Genomic DNA, 17,288 nt, shown 5'->3' on the forward strand with positions numbered 1-17,288 from the left:
TATTATGTGCCAGGCACTGTTCTAAGCACTTTACAAGTATCAATTTAGTTAATGCTCATGATACTCTATGAGATAGAGTTGGCCCAACATTGGTGCTAGTAAGAACACTGGAGCCCAGAGAACTTTTGTAATTTGCCCAGGGTCATAGATAGTCAGCAGGCAGGAAAAAAAAAAAAAAAAAGATGAGTCTCCTGGGAGCCTAGTTTTATGGCCTAGAAGTGAGTCAGATAGCTCAACAAGAATCAACGACCAATCTCATTTTGGGAAAAAAACTATTCAAACTCGTGATTTGGCTGAAGCGATTCAGCAAGTCAGTAACAATAGCAAATGCAATCGCTAGGTAAGGCAAGAGGCTTCATGAAAGAAATTTTCTTTCTACTATCCAGGTTTCTAATGAAGCTGCTCAACAATAGTAGAATCTGTGCTGACCCTTTGGGAAAACCGTGGGACATTTGAGTGGCCAGGATACATTGATAGAATTCACAATTTTGTATTTAAATATCCAAGGAGCAGCTCAGTTTTTGTTAAATTGGAATTTTGGCTTGTCAAATTTTGTAATAATTATCCTGAGTTTTGAAAACCTTTACGTTGGTTTTTTGTAGCAGCACCATTTGTTTTAGTAGAAATCTTACTTTAATGTTTTTCTTAGAAGTTGTACTTCTAGTTAATAGCTGGGTGGGCAGGCTGGTATTATCTTACTTTATTGACGTTCACATTATGTAAGACAGAATGCCAAACCCTGACTAAATAAAAATAGATCACATTTATTGCTTCTTCTCAATGTTCTAAACTTATCTTGGTTAGAGAGCTGAATTGGTTTAGTTTGACAAGATTTGTTCTTTATGAAGCTTTACTGAATCCCTTCTTGCAACTTTATATATCACAGTGTTTATTGTCTGGCGATTTCTTTTCATGGCTTTTTTTTCTTTCCAGAAATGGATGCAATGTGCATATCATGAATAATGGATGATTTTGTTTATGTAATTATTATAAATGATTGTAAGAGTTAGGATGTTAATTTCTTTATCAGCAGGAATATAAGAAGGTTTCATTGATTTGTAAATTATCTTTGAATGGCATTTGGAAAAAAATCTTCTCATATTTTCCTTACGAAATCTTAATAAATGCTTAACTTTGCATACAAAAGTAACATAGATGAATATTCTAATATGTTAAACTTTTTTGGAGCAAAAATGATACTTAGATGAACTAATATTACTGTAGCCTGATGGCAAATTATTGAAGTTTTTTATTGGTAGAATGGACCTTTGTTTTTCTTTTTGGCTGCTCTGCACCTTTAAATTTCCTTTAAAGGAAATTTAAACTTGCTCCTAGCTTCCCTTGCAGCTAGAATGCAGGCATGTGACAGGCTCCACCAACCAGATGGCTTGCATTTGAGATTTTGAATGTAAAGCTAGTGGCACAAATAAACAGGTAGAGTAGAACCATTCTGCTGTGGGGAAGGGCAAATAGGCTTGTTTTCTTAGGGGAGTAGCAGAGGTTCTGCAGCATCCTCCAGTTCCCAGTGGGGTGGATGAGTAGTGTCTGTGTCCAGAGGTGGGGTTTCCCCAGGGCTATCTGTGGTGAGGTGAGCACTGCTCCTGGCTTTGTAATCTTCAAGCCTGGTTCTCTGTGCCTCCTTGAAAATCTGAAAATGGTTTCACAGCCTTTAACACATTCTTTTTCTATTTAATTAAGCCAGAGAGGGTTTCTGTGGTTTGCAATTAAGAAATCCAATGGATACAACTGGAATCTGAGGATAATAACAAGGAAACAGGATTCTTTCATATATATCTCCTTTCACTGTTGAAAGTTATCAGTAGAATAGGGTTATTTGCCAGGTCATTCTTACAGGAGTCATCATTTACTTAAACTGATATGCTGTTGAGAATAGCCTTCTAGAGAAAGTGAGGCACACCCAGGCAAGGTGTTTTTAAGGGAAATGGGGGTGACTTAATTACCAGTGAAATAGGTATTATTATGAGCTTGGAACTCACCAGTGTGAATCCGTGAGTTTGGAATTCACCAATGGCCTTGGGAATGAGGTCTCCTGAGGATTAAAAGATGATCTATGAAGAAGTCCTGACTAGAGGTCCTCTAGAATGTTCCCGGTTCTTGGCTTGAGAGGTGTATTAAGGGATGGTTGGAACAAAGAATATGGTCTTACTTGAGGCCTGTTATGTGATTCTTTGATTCATTCATTTAACACGTTTTATTGAGTGGCTACTCTGCCCCATGCACATGCATGAGATGCAGCAGTGAACTGGGCAGGGCTTTCGTTTGGTGCTCTGGAGTTTCAAAGTGTTTTCACATTTAGGTGGGGAAAGGAGAACAGCCTTTATAACTGTTTGTAGACATTAAAAATTGGAGAGGTTCAATAATTTATCCACAGAGACATAGACAGTAAGTAGTGGAATTGAGAATTAACTTCAGCTCTTTTGGTTCCAGAATCCTATTTTCTTTCCAGGACACTAGCACCTCTTAGCTGCCAGAGCTCATGCTTACTGTTTCTTCCCTTTTCTAGGGAGGAAGTCTGCATCAAGGAAGAATTAACTTGGTCAATACAGAGGCGGGTCTCCTCTTTCTGGGGCCGGTGGTCTTTCTGTTGCCCTCCAATTCTACTACTCTCCGCTGACTCTGTCATTTATATCCTGATTGGAGACACGGTATTGAGGGCTGCCCTTGATGGGTAACACACAAGGAAGGGAAGACATCAGGGTACATCTTTGGCATGAGGGGTCAGTACTACCAAATAAAGTCAAGTGTGAGAACTGGGGAGAGAGGAAGCACATGAAAGCACATGAAAATTTATTTCATTGTTTTCCCCTAGGGCTGTAGCATTCTAAGAGACATGTGTTCCCCCCTTAGTGATACCACAGTCTAGTGGGTAAGATAAGTATGTACATGACTGAGTCGTTCCTAGCCTCAGGTCTGTGGCTCTTGTACATTTTCCTACTAGATGGCACTGTTTTTTTTTTTTTAGAATTGAAATTTTTATTGAGATAATTGTAAATTATTGAGAAACGTAGATAACATGCAGTTGTAAAAAACAATACAGACAGGTCCCACGTACCCTTTAACCAGTTTTGCCCAAAGGTAACATAGAAAAATATCACAGCTAGGATATTGACATTGACAGAATCCACTGATCTTATTCAGATTTCCCCAGTTTGACTTGTACTCATGGATGTGTGTGGATGTGAATGTGTGTATTTAGTTCTATGTAATTTTATCACATTAGTTTGTGTATCCACCACCACAATCAAGATACAGAATAGCTCCATTGCCACAAGGATCCCACATGTTGTCTATCTCTATTTTTTATAACCACAGCTTCCTCCCTCCCTGACATTTTTTTTTGTCTCATGTGTTCTTGGTGCCTATAAAGATACTTAATATATTTGTGTTATATGAATAAATGAATTAACAGTGCCATAACATATACACATAAACACATGCGTAGTGGATTTGGAGGGCAGAGGAAGGAGCCATTCCTTTGAGCTGGGCCTTAGAAAGAGAAGAGGCAGGACTTAATGGTGAGCACTATGGACACTCATGACTTGGATGGGTGAGCACAGTGACTAATCTCCTGTGCTCAGGGAGGGAGTGCCTGGGTTCAAATTCCATTTCTACCACGTTTTGTATGAGTGGCCCCAGAGAAGTGGCTTAACTTGCTCAGGTTCCTCATCTTTAAAATAGGGATGACACTAGTGCCTGCTTCAGGGATTGCTGTGGGATGGAATGGGCTGGTGCATGTACAACACTGGGCAGAGTACCTGGCACGTGGTAGGACTTAATAAGCAGATGTTGCTGTTCATGGTCTTGGTCTTTGTAGTTTGAGGAGGGCCTCTGATGACTTGGGATGGAGATCACGTCTATACCTCCCTTTGTGAGGAGGCATGGGTTGAGCATCTTCCTGGAGACTCCCATGGCTGACTCCCACCTCCACCCCACTGGGGTTCTACTCTTCTTGACAGGCCCTTTCTGCTATGGTTTTGAATATGGTGTTTACAGGATCCATTAATGACTTTGGAAACATCCTTTGGTGGTAGGCTTTAGAGTTGTCAAGAGACCCCAAAGCCATAAGGGTAAGAACAGCAAACCTACACCCTTTGAAGCTCTGGAGGCCCTGCCTGCATTTTCCGCAGTATCTCTTATTGTATCTCATGGGGAAAATGATATGTTAATGGGAAGTTGTAAATCTGCCCAATAACCAGGGCAGGGTCTTGTGTACCAACAGATCCACTAAAACTGCATGGTCGATGGATGAGTTTTACCCCAGCCTGAGCTTCTTCCACGGAGACTGGTAGAAGACTGGAAGAATCAGCTCTCTTTCTCTTTCACTTCCTCTTTGTGGGATCAAGGAGGGGTGTTTACTAGGAATCTCATCTGGGATTAGTGTGTCTGGACCTCTCTTGGTTCCATTGAAATTCACTTGCTATGTACACATCTGTTGTGAGAAAAACAAATTGTTTTGGTTTACAAAGACAAAGGGCAGTTAGTAAGTACCGCAGGATATGGGTTAAGAAACCCTCACAACCCTCTGCCAAGTATCCAACCCACTGCAATAGGCCAGTGCAGGAAAGACCTGTTAGTAACTGAACTGCAAAGACAATGTATTTTTGTTTGTTTTCTCTTTTTCAAGGATGAGATTGAACAGAGCCTGAGCAGTTTTCTTCCATCCCCAATTTCTCTACAAGTGACATCATCAACAATTCATTATGTGCTATCAAATATTGTTGCCTGTTTCTTTTTGTTGCAAATATTAAAATCTCAACAGTCAAGGCACTTAACACAAAAATATAGGCAGAGAACTCTTTCCCAATTACAGGGCACATCCTGCTGGGGGTATAAGCCATAATTTTAGGGAGTGCAGTGACATGGAACTAAATATTGAAGTACAAAAACAGTTATTTTAAAAAATATCTTACAATTCTGCTTTTGCAAAAGAAATCTTATCTGTAACAGCTCTAGCTCTCTAAAACTTGCCAATTCTTTTTTGAATAAGGAGAGAATAGGCCTTTTACTCAGAACCATCTCAGTCAACAGCTTCTATTAGAGCTGCAGTTTATTTAACAGTGTCTTTCTTCCCCTACCGTATTTATTTTATTTTATTATTATTATTTTTGAGATGGAGTCTCGCTCTATAGCCCAGGCTGGAGTGCAGTGGCGTGATGTCGACTCACTACAACCTCTGCCTCCTGAGTTCATGCGATTCTCCTGCCTCAGCCTCCCAAGTAGCTGGGATTACAGGTGCACACCACCACACCCAGCTAATTTTTGTGTTTTTAGTAGAGACAGGGTTTCATTATGGTGGCCAGGCTGGTCTGAAACTCCTGACCTCAGGTGATCCACCTGACTCAGCCTCCCAAAGTGCTGGGATTACAGGTGTGAGCCACCGTGCCAGGCTCCGTATTTATTCTTAAAGTTACTTTCTTTTAAGGCATGTGTTACTCATTTTCTGTTTAAAATAGAACATAAGTTTTAATATAAATTCATTTGAAAAATAACTGATGAGCTAATTTTAAAAATTAAGTTAACAACGGTGAAGGAGGGATTTGGATCTGGTAGTTTCCTGAAGGTGGCATTCAAATTAGCCAAAGCAGGAATGCATTGGCGTAATGGTGGGGGGAGGACTGGGCAAAAGAAGAACTAGTTTCTAGAATTAGATCCTTCAGCAAGTACAATAGGAACCTGGGCAACTTACAGCTTCTCTGGGCTTCTTTTCCTTTATCTGTAATTAGGGCGTTGGAGTATTAAACACATTCATTGAGCACCTGCATTTGCAAAATATTGTGCTTATGTGTATGAGGCTACTGGTGATGAAAAGAGTATAAATTCTACCCTTCAGGAGTTTACAGACAAAAACAAAATCAGGCCAACCAAACAAGCTATTGCTGTGCTAGTAGAGGAGACAGACAGGTAAAAGGGTCAACTATCAAAGAACAGGATGTGGCTGGGTTCTGGCCCTGGTTCTGCCACTAATGACCTGATTTTATACCAGCCATTCAACCTCTGTGAGCCCCAGGTTTTTCTTGATTGAATCAGTGCCTTCCCCTGACCCACACCTGGTGTGTCCGAGGGTTTCTTTTTCTGAGGAAGAGGAGCATCTTTCAGCAAATGGTGTAGGTCTGGCTGTTCCCACTCCATGGCTGGAGGGCTCTGGACAGCTCTAAAGCTCATCACTAAAGGATGTCCCCAAAGTCATTAATGGATCCTGTAAATGCAGTGTTCCAAACCAGAGCAGAAAGTAACATGTCCTGTTGCCCAGACCCTCCTCATCCTTCAAAGCCATGGTTATTTGACATGCCCTTGGAGAAGTCTGCTCCCCACCCACTTCCCCCTATAGTCTGATCTTTCTATCATAGCATATGTGTGTCTGTGTGTGTGTGTGTGTGTGTGTCTGTGTGTGTGTAGCCTCACACTAGCCTATAAGCTGCCAGACACAGGGATCAGGTTTTCACTTTCCCCCTAGTGCATAACTCAGTGTCTGGCACGTAGCAAGCAGCACCCAGCTCTTATGCATATGTGTGCACACACATGTGAGTGCATGTGCACACATGCACAGGTCTGAGTGTGTTGGTGATGAAACAAAATGTGGAAAATAATTGAATAAGGCAAGATTTTAGAATATCAGTTTCTTATTGAGCAACATGAGGAAAAGTATATGAAACAAAAATGGACAGCTCAATAAACGATCAAAGTGAAGTCATGTAACTATCACTCAGATCTAGAACCAAGGCACTGTGGTCATTTCCAGCCTCCCTTTCTCCAAATCCTATCCGGTTTCACCATTTTTCTTGCTTTTTTTTCCAGCTTTTTCTCATGAAGTTTTATTTTAAAAATTTTCTATTTATTTTGAGAATCTGCAGAAGCATTTCAAGATAGAGTAATAAACACCTGTAGGCATTTTACCTTGATATGGTAGTTAACATTTCACCATCTGTTTTCTGTTTTCTCTATATCCTTGCTTTTTTCTGAACCATTTAGTCATAGACATCATAATGCATAATCACCAAATAATTCATTATTCATCATTTCCTAAGAACAAGGGGATCCTCTTGGCCACAATACTCCCTCCACTCCACTCAGGAAATTGGTATAATACTATACTATTGATACTTTTTTTTGAGACCAAGTCTCACTCTGTCACCCAGGCTGCTGGAGTGCAGTGGCGCCACGTCGATCTCAGTTCACTGCAACCTCCGCCTCCAGGGTTAACTGTTGATACTCTTGATGCAGTACCATTATCTAATATGGCACATGTTCTGATTTCTCCATTTGTTCCAACAGTGTCCTTTATGGGTAAGGGAATTTATGTCTTTGGTCCAGGATCCAAACAAGGATCATGTGTTGCATTTAGTCACAATGTTTCTAGTCTCCTTTAATACAGGGCAGTTCTCCCAGTTTTTGCTTTTGTCTTCATTAATTTGACATTTTTAGAGAGTCAGCATTGACATTTTAGAGATTTTAGCAGACTTTTTTCTCAATTTATATTTGCTTGATTATTCCTTTATAAGTAGATTCAGGTTGAATTTTTTTTTTTTTCCTAGAGAAGCACTTGGATGGTATGTTCTCAATGTATGGCTGGAGGAGGCATGTGCTATCAATTGGCTCATTATTGTGGATCACTGTGATCATTTGATTAAGTGGTACCACCAGACTGCCCCCAACAGCCTTTCATCTAATGGTTTTAGCCTCTGATGTGGTTTGGCTCTGTATTGCCACACAAATCTCATCTCGAATTATAATCCCCACGTGTTGGGGGGGAGGGGTCCTGGTGGGAGGTGATTGGATCATGGGGGTGGATTTCCCCTTGATGTTCTATGATATTGAGTTCTCATGAGATCTGATGGTTTACAAGTGTGTGGCACTTAACCCCTTGCACTCTCTCTTTCCTGCTCCGCCATGGTAAGATGTGCTTGCTTCCCCTTCTACCATGATTGTAAGTTTCCTGAGGCCTTCCAGTCATGCTTCCTGTTAAGCCTGTAGAACTGTGAGTCAGTTAAATCTCTTTTCTTTATAAATTGCGCAGTCTCAGGTAGTTCTTTATAGAAAGGACTAATACAGCCTTCATTGATGATTCTTAGCTAATTAATGATCACTATAAGGATTGTAAAATGGTGACTTAAGTTTTTTTCTTTTATTTCCTCTATGTAAAAAAATATATTTCTCCTCTCCTTTCCTTTCCAACCCCCTTTCCCTTTTTATTATCAGTATGAGCTTATGGATTATCTATTTAACATGTTATAATCCACTCTTATTTATTTTGATAATCAAATTGCCTCATATTTTGCCACAGGGAGCCCCTTCTGTTTGGCTATGTTCTTTTGACATTTCTCCATCAGTTTTTGAGCACTTCCTTAGTTTCTGGAATAATAAGATATTCCACGTTCATTTTAAGAGAGGAAATTGAACTAAGCGTCTAAGCTCTGCTGATTAAAATGTTTACAAAAATACGAATGAGAATCAAAGTGCAAATTCAACACTGGCAAATACCTCTCTGAATTTTGGCAAAAACAGCAGGTTTTTGACTAGCCTTATCCATCACTGAAGTGCCTAGAAATGTATCATAGGATAATCACTGCTGTCTCTGAGGGGCTTCTGGGTGCAGACCCTGCTGGTGATCAGGAGACACATGGGTTCAGGGAAGTGCAAGCTCCTGAACACCCGCTCAACACAGCTCCTGGCAGTATCCATGGTGATGGAAGACAGAAAGCATATGGTAATTAAAACCACAAGTTAAATGATTTTATCCAGTGATTTTTACTCTGCTTCATGAGCAATATGATGAGAGCAATAGACCAACTATAAGATTCTGTTTGCCTTGCACTAATTTTAATTTTTGGTGCTGTCATGTCTGTAGAGATGGGAACGCACAGTAAGGGGGACCAACAGAAGGAAAATGGAGAAAGTGATGAGTTTAAAATCCTGCGAACTGGCTAATGCAAAAAAAAAAAAAAATCAAATCTGAAAATGTTTTTCCAAAGCGTTTCCTAGGGTTGGGAACTTCTAGATGGTTTGCATTTCACTTGCTTCTCAAACAGCTGTGCAGTGTTGGCTGAGGGTGTGGAAAGGAGTGAATAAGCCTGCGTATTAGGATGGGAAGAAAAATAACCTCTCGGTCAGATGCATGTCCCCTGGGATCTGATGTTACTGTAGGAGGAATGCCAACAGCCTAAGTGAACGGTCCATACGCTTTTAAATTGCTCTGAACCCCCCAACCCATTGTTTCAAGCATAGAACCAGAAGATAGACCACATTGCTCAGGGGACAAGTTCAACGAGAAGGCTAAATCCTGGGGATGGTATGCAGAGCAGCTGATTCCTCCCCGACAGTGTGGTGTCCTACTTTTTTACCTGATTTTCAGGGTCCTTTATATTATCTGCTGAGTTAATTAAGACATTGCTCTCACAGTTTAGAAAGTACATTGACATTTTTAGATAAAAGATAATTGCAGCCTGTTTTTTTTTTTTTTTTTTTTTTTTGTAAACAGTGCTGAATTTTCTAAGGCAAATTAAGGGTACTGTAACATTTCATGTACTTGGACACAATCACCTGGCATTTTCTGGTCCTCCAGTTGTTAAGAGGGTAACTATTAATACAACAAAAGCAGATATGTAGCATTCATGCTGTCAAAAGTCACACTCCAGGGGATATTCAGTAGTTGAGTCAGCAAATACACACACCACTGTTCTTTTTTATCTTGCCCATAGCAGACACAAATCATCTATCCCAGCTTCAAAACTTTCTGAAGCAGTTCTCGAGGGAGCCACTGACAATTGATAAAAGCTTATATTTATTAGATACCTAGATCAGAGATCAGATGCAATCTATTCTCTCACTCCTTTTACCTGACCATTGTTGGTTAAAATGGTTATCCTCATACAAGGGTCTTAACTGTTAAAGAACATTTTTTTTTGTGATGTGGAGTGTCGCATTTGTTGCCCAGACTGGAGTGCAAAGGCAAGATGTTGGCCTACTGCAACCTCCGCCTCCTGGGTTCAAGTGATTCTCCTGCCTCAGCCTCCTGAGTAGCTGGGATTACAGGTGCCCACCACCATGCCCGGCTAATTTTTGTATTTTTAGTAGAGGCGGGGTTTCACCATGTTGGCCAGGCTGGTCTCGAACTCCAGACGTTAAGGTGGTCCGTCCACCTCGCCCTCCCAGAGTGCTGGGATTACAGGCGTGAGCCACCATGCCCAGCCTGTTAAAGAACACTTAATAATGCTCACTCTATCCTAATTCACTGAACGAGGGAAACAGATGAAGTCAATTAACAAATACAAAACCTTCCATTCATCAAGAAAGGCCTCGTACTAAAATACTTAAATTCTTTTATCTATCTAGCTAGATATTATCATAAATTTTATGAAAGATCACCTCTAAGACTGCTGGTTGGCTTGTGGACCAATTAGCTGGACCAATGGGTGAGGTCACATAGTACGAGAATGGCCTGATCCCTGAGAAAAGGCCTTTGAGTGTCTAGTCCTACAGGTTTAGGGATGAGCCGAGACCACCTAATACTCATAAAACCCTTGATACTCACGTTGGAAAGAAGATAGGAGGCAGTAACAATCTGTGAGAATTAATTTTTTCATATAAAATTGCTTTTGTTTTTCTCATCTAGAATATTAACAACTTTAGAAAAGGAACTTCTTTCTGATTCTTTTGTGTGTACTCATGGCCGAATATAGATAATTGGTCAGTAATACAAGATTTATAATATGCTTTTCAACAAATATTTAAATAATAAACTTGCTTCACTTTTTCTATTTTAGAAAAATATATTTTTTTCTGATATCAAAGTAATTGATGGGCCTTGTTCAAATGTTGCAATATACAGAGATATATAGGAAAGAAAAAAACCCCAAGAGATGACAGCATAAAACATAGTACTAAGAGATGTTAAGAAACATCAGTCGTAATCTCTGATTTTGTGCCAGTAACTTTATTGCTCTAGGCCTTATTTCTCCATCTAAAAATAGTTCTACTTACTGCCAAGATTATGAAGGCTAATGACACCTGATCAGTGAAGTGTTTGCTTATTACATTGTAGGTCATCAACAGCAATGAGTTCCTCCATCCTATCATACCAAGAACACTTCCTTTTCATTACTGTGCTTTTCAAGGACAGAGAAGAAGGAAAACCTGAGGAGGCTCAGTTTAAGTCTCTTGACCCTAAGGTGACCCTTGTTTGCTCTTTCAGATAACTCTCACCTAACTATGTTTACACGGGGAATACCTCCTTGGTACATGGGAATGCATATTCCCATTAAGCTTCACACATTTTGAGCTTTTGCATCTCCAGAAAATTTACAGAAAAGCTACATCATGACTTGCATCACTGGATTTACTCCCTTTTCATTCAGGTGTTGAATCATGAATGGGAGTTGAGGTTCAGTCACTGACTTTTGACATTTGGTGGAACCATTTTTAACATGATCTACTGGGTAATGCCCACAATAATAAGTCCAGTGCTAAAACTTGTAGATAACTTAGAATCCATTGCTTGTTTAAAAGCTTATACAATTTACCTGAAATTTTTTTTTTTTTTTTTTTTTTTGAGACAGATCCTCATTCTGTCACCCAGGCTCAAGTGCAGTGGTGCGATCTTGGCTCACTGCAACCTCCACCTCCCGGGTTTATGCAATTCTTGTGCCTCAGCCTCCTGAGTAGCTGGGACTACAGGTGCCTACTGCCACACCCAGATAATTTTTTGTGTTTTTAGTAGAGATGGGGTTTTGCCCTTTTGCCCAGGCTGGCCTCAAACTCCTGAGCTCAAGCTATCTACCTGCCTTGACCTCCCAAAGTGCTGAGATTGCAGGTGTGAGCCATGGCGCCCAGCCTTTACCTGTCTCTTGAGATGACACCTATTTCAAATATCCAAAAGTATCACATTTTCTAAAAATACAAACAAAGCTTTAATATAATAGATAATTACTTTTTTATTCTTCAAGGGAAGAGTACACTGTTCGAGGGTTGCCTGGGTCACTTGCTTTTTTTGCCTGCTTTTCAGCAATTGCATTGCACATTCATCTGAGCATAGCAAGGGAAGAAAATATCAAACCCTTAGTTTTGAGGCTGTGTAGTAATGCCAAGAGAAGCATAGGTTTGTACTTGCTGGAAGATGGGGCTTGGCAGCATTTCTCAAATTGTGACCTGTGAAAAACCAATGTTCCAGTCTCCACTGAGGTGAGCTAAATAACACATCTTGTCCATTCAGTTTGGGAACCATGACATTCTGTGGTACTTTTGTATTTTTGATAAATTTTATTACATATTGTTAAGTCTAAGAAGTCCTAGGAGACCAGGTTTACCCCAGTGTTTTCAAAATGCAATTCAAAATGGAGCCTCCTTATTAGTGGAAGGTCTATTTGTGAATCCCAAGATCTGGATTAGAGTGCTGTTAGGTCCTCCAAAAAGCAGGTTCCAAGATGACATTACTGAAGTGCTGGAGATTTATTCGGGGAGCATAAAGGGGAAGGAGCAGGACAAGCAAGAAGGGTCTTTAGGCTTTGTGGGTCTGACACCTGTGACAGAGAAGGGAAGGAAAATTGCCTAGAAAGAATCTTCTAAGAAAGTTTCCTGCAGGTCGTTGGGGAGTCTTGTGTCCCAAGTCACCCATTAGAGGAGTCTCATGTCTTGCAGGAAGGGACTTGAGTTAGTTTGCTTGCTGTGCTTAGCCCATAGGATGCATGGCCTCAGTGTGATGCAGTGACCGGCAGGAAGACTCAGCAGCTGGAGCTGTCAGTCAGCGTGTGCTCCCTGTAGCTGGAGATTGAGCGGCATACTTTCATGACCACCCCTGTTTCCAGTTGCACCCCTTGTTAGAATAAGTCACTCAAGGCTTCTGGAACCTAAACAGTTACTGTATCAAATGGGGGACCTGTCCTTTCTTCCTCACATAGCTACAAATGAAAGCTCTTTGCAACTTACAAAGCATTCCAGAAATAGGATTATTATGGGGTGGCTAAAGGCTTTTCAAGTGTATCAGCTGTTAGCATGGCACTGTGCTCTTGACCCAAAGGCAGTGTCTTATTCATCATTGCCCTGGATTTCCCACAGGACAACCACAGTGCTAGGCATCTAATAGGCACTCATTAAATGTTTGTTAAATTACGATAACAACTGTTGTGAGTTCTCCAAGGAAACACTCTGTGACTAAGGCTGTAGGTGGGATAACAATTGTAGACACTGAAATGCATTCCCTCTGGCAGGAGGCAGAGCATGGGGGAGGGTGGTGGTGGATTTGTATTGATATAATCTGCCCTTGTATCTGGATCCTGTGTAGCAGTTCATGGTAAGGGCATTATTCCTGGAAGAGGGACGAGGGCTAGGGGAAGAGTTACAGAACTTTTTTTTTTGAGACAGCGTCACCCAGGTTGGAGTGCAATGGTGCGATCTCAGCTTACTGCAACCTCCGCCTCCCAAGTTCAAACAGTTTTCCTGCCTCAGCCTTCTGAGTAGCTGGGACTACAGGCACGTGCCACCAAGCCTGGCTAATTTTTGTATTTTTAGTAGAGACGGGGTTTTGCCATGTTGGCCAGGCTGGTCTTGACCTCCTGGCCTCAAGCAAACCACCTACCTTGGCTTCCCAAAGTGCTGGGATTACAGGTGTGAGCCACTGCACCTGCTCAGAGTTTCACATCTTTTTGCTTTGTAATATGATCTGTCTTTTGCATCTCTAAAATAATTCTGATGTTAATTGAATTGTAAAGAAAATTCCCAAACTTTATCCTAGATAATTGTAGGGCATCACCCCCTACTCCTGAAGCTTATTTCCCAGAGCTGTTGGCATTGAATGCTTTAAGTTTTACCAAATCATCCTTTCTCTGCTTTGGGAACATCCTAGTCAGGGCTAAATGTTTAAGGAACAAGCACAGGGAAAGAGGGGAAGGAAAGGCATGGAGGAGATTTGTAATGGGGTAATTTCTCAAAAGGTTGACTGTAGCTTTTCTGTTTGGCTCTAATCTCCTGATGGGTGGCAGTTTTGTCTGTTTCTTTTTGTATATTTATTTATACCAGCTCAGTATTTTGTTCAATAAACGTTTGTGGTGTGAACCTAGGAATGAATTACACATGTCTACTACATGCTGGGTGCTGGGGTGATAAGGGTAAACCAACTCAAGCCCTAATGAAACTTTTTGTCTAATAATGAAAGTGAACAGTAATGGAAAAAAATCACATAAATAAAATTACAAACTATGATGAGTGATGAAAGGAAAAAGCTCTGGGAACCTGGAGAGCTTAGATAGAACCAGGGTACCTGGTTAGTCTGGTGGGGAAAGCACAGAGGTCAGGGAAGACTTTTCTGAGAATGTGATGTTAAGTGGCCCATGAAGGATGGGACAGTGTTAACCAGAGAAAGAGGTATGTGAGGGGCATTTGGATTCCAGCAGAGAGGAGCACGTGCAAAGATCTGGAGGGAGGGAGCATGTTCCAGTCGAGTCACTGAAGGAAGGTGGTGTGGCCAGAGCAAACCACAGGGATGCAGTAGGAGAGGAAGCAGAGAGATTTGAGTACAGGGTGGTCCATTTGGTATTTTCCTGTGCTGTGCCATCAATAATCCTTATTACTGGATGTCTACTGTGTAGCCAGATGACTTCTGTTGATATGTGTACTGTATCTGGATCACACACAGCAGGATCATGGTAAGGATACAATTCTGCAGAAAAATAAAAGGAGAAATAAACTTAAATTCTGGGAAGAGGGGTTTGAACTTTAGAAAGCTTTGGACTCCGTGGAGTTATTGAACTCTGATAAGAGTTGCCATGAGATCTTGTTTTTGTGAAGAATTTAAAGAACAGAGCAGACGAGGGAAGGAGGCTTGGCTACCTTGAAAGGGTACTGGATTAGGGGTTCCAGCTCTTGCAGTGCCATGATCAGCTGTGTACCCTCGGACCACCTCATCTTTTAAATAATCACTTCCCCCAGTGGTAACATGTGAGGTTGGAATTCAACAACTCTGACCATCTTTGATTCCGAGTGGAATCAACTCTATCATGATGGAAAATTGAGGGAGGGATGCGCTAGGGAACCCACTCTGTCTGTGAACCCCTGAGCCCAGGCCCCTTCCTTTGCATGTCTTTTTATGATACATAGGGAGTGGAGGATTGCAGCTCAGTTGGGGATGTTTACGAGGCTGCCTTGGGAGCTACTATTTAACTGCTTAGTCTGTACCTGCAGAACCTTCTCCCCAACCCCTCCCCACACTTCATGCTGCCTCCTTCCTCAGTGCTCTGCACTTTAGAGGCTCCTACACCATTGCCAGCCCACAGGGGTGGCCTCTCAGCCCTCACCGCCAGGTCCTCTTCTTGTCCCAGCACCATACCTAAAACACAAAGGTGCACAATGGAGAGGGCCCAGCATTTCCTTTTCCATGACACCATAAAGACGTGCTAGAGGAATGGACAAGGGGCAGTGTATTCCTTTCCTGGGACTGCCTTGGCCATGTGCCACAAACATGGCTGCTTCAAACAGCATCATCCTCTCACAGTTCTGGAGGCCAGAAGTCTGAAGTCAAAAATGTTGGCAGGATCATGAAGACGATGGGGGAGAATCCTTCCTTGGCTCTTCCAGCTTCTGGTGGCTCCTTTGTTCCTTGTCTTGTGACTGCATCACTCTAATCTCTGCCTCCATCTCCACAGTGTCTTCCTCTCTGTGTCTTCTCCTTTTATGTATCTTAAAAGGTCACTTGTCATTGGATTTAGGGTCCACTGGGTAATCCAGGAGAGTGTCTTCTCAAGATCCTTAATTATATCTGCAAAGATTCTTTTTGTAAATAATGGGACACTCACAGGTTTCAACATGTGGATATATCTTTAGGGGAACCACTATTCAATTCACTACAGGTGGTTTCAGAGGTATTTGACCCATCCAAATGACTTATTTTATTCATTTTTCTCCCTGACAAACTTGACCTTTTTGAAATAGCCTCAGAATACAGGTCCCAAAGATATGCCATAGAGTGGAGGCAGCAGGCTGGAGGGCTGGAGAGCACAGGCTTCTGGGCCAGGTGGCCTCAGTTCAAATCCCAGCACGTACCAATCTCTCTGTGGCTCAGTTTTGCCATCTGTACATTGAGTACAATAACAATACTGCCTTTGAAGACTGTTGTGGAGCTTGTATAGGATAACACTTGTAAAGGTAGCTAGAACTTACCAAAAGTAAAGTGCTCAATAAATGTTAACCATGATAGTGAAATAAACAGTAAAAACATGAGCAGGGGGTGGTGAACATGATTAAAAATCCAAGTATGTCTGGATAGTGGCTGGACCCAGGGCATTGACACTGTCTGGAGCTAGGGCTCTTTTGAGTCTTGATCGACCTCTAATTACCTGCACCTGACTTGAAATAAAACATATTGGCGGCCCCTCCTCTCAAGATCTGCTCTGAGCTTCTGTGTTTGCTGATCAGAGTCGGGCTCTGGCAGCCAACCCGAACAGAGGGCACTCAATTTCAAACAGAGATAGGGAGCTGCCAGGTGCACACACACAGAAAGGACATTCCTGGGAGGTAGCCTGCTGTGCTCCACTGAGCCACTGAATTCCCAAAGGGAGCTTTCCTTCTTCCGAGACAGTGGTGGCTGCTGCCCTTCCTGCTGGGCCGACCTCCTGGGGTCCAGGAAGCTGGTGAGTATGAGTGCTTCTGGGCACAGTCAGGAGCCTTGCTGGTCGAGGTGAGGTCTGTTGCTCTGCTTCTCATTATCGAACTCTGTCCACACCCTTTGCTGCAGCCTGGGCTTCTGGAAGCCCTTGGAGATGCCACTCTTCTGCTTGTCCTTAGAAACCTGGGCCATCATGGATGAGGATGCAGACAGAGGGCAAAGGGGCTGGGCTTGGGTGTCAGACTGCTGTGTGGCTCTAGGCAAGTTCCCTAACCTCTCCGAGGTGAGGTGTTCTGCATTTGGTAAGTACCATTTGGATGGTACACTACTCTGACTAGGTGCTTGAAAAATGGTGGCTGTGATTGATATCTAGGAGGTAACATAGAGTAGAGATCTGACGGGTCAGGGTTTTACTGAAGCCTTGAGACCTTAGGCAGTTTTCTTAACCTTTTAGACTACAATTTCCTTATCTGAAAAAGAGATTAAACACCCCATTCAGATGGCTGATGGAAGGATTAAGTGGAAAAAAAGTATATAGAGCTTTTAGCCCAATGCATGGCTCATTCTACATGCTCAATGAATGGTAGCTATGATGACTGTCCCAGAGCAACCTGAATAATGATAATAAAATTAATGAATATATTTGTTAGATATATTTAACAAATATATTCATCTTATT

At 41.8% G+C, this 17,288-nt stretch overlaps 1 protein-coding gene across 7 annotated transcripts in view; it reads left to right on the plus strand.

Moving 5' to 3' along the window:
• The window catches only part of FER1L6 (fer-1 like family member 6), a 268,075-nt gene that overhangs the window by 75,012 nt on the left and 175,775 nt on the right, over positions 1-17,288 (plus strand). For 2 of the 7 annotated variants that reach the window (XM_011517232.4, XM_011517233.4), the window contains exon 1: positions 16,489-16,634. The exons of the other annotated variants lie outside the window; for them this stretch is intronic. The gene's annotated coding sequence lies outside the window, so the exon portion shown is untranslated. Of the gene's footprint in view, positions 1-16,488; positions 16,635-17,288 lie in introns of those variants that run through there. 7 annotated transcript variants of the gene reach the window in all.

The sequence above is a fragment of the Homo sapiens genome, chromosome 8 (genome assembly GCF_000001405.40).
Source record: "Homo sapiens chromosome 8, GRCh38.p14 Primary Assembly".
NCBI classification, from domain to species: Eukaryota; Metazoa; Chordata; class Mammalia; order Primates; family Hominidae; genus Homo; species Homo sapiens.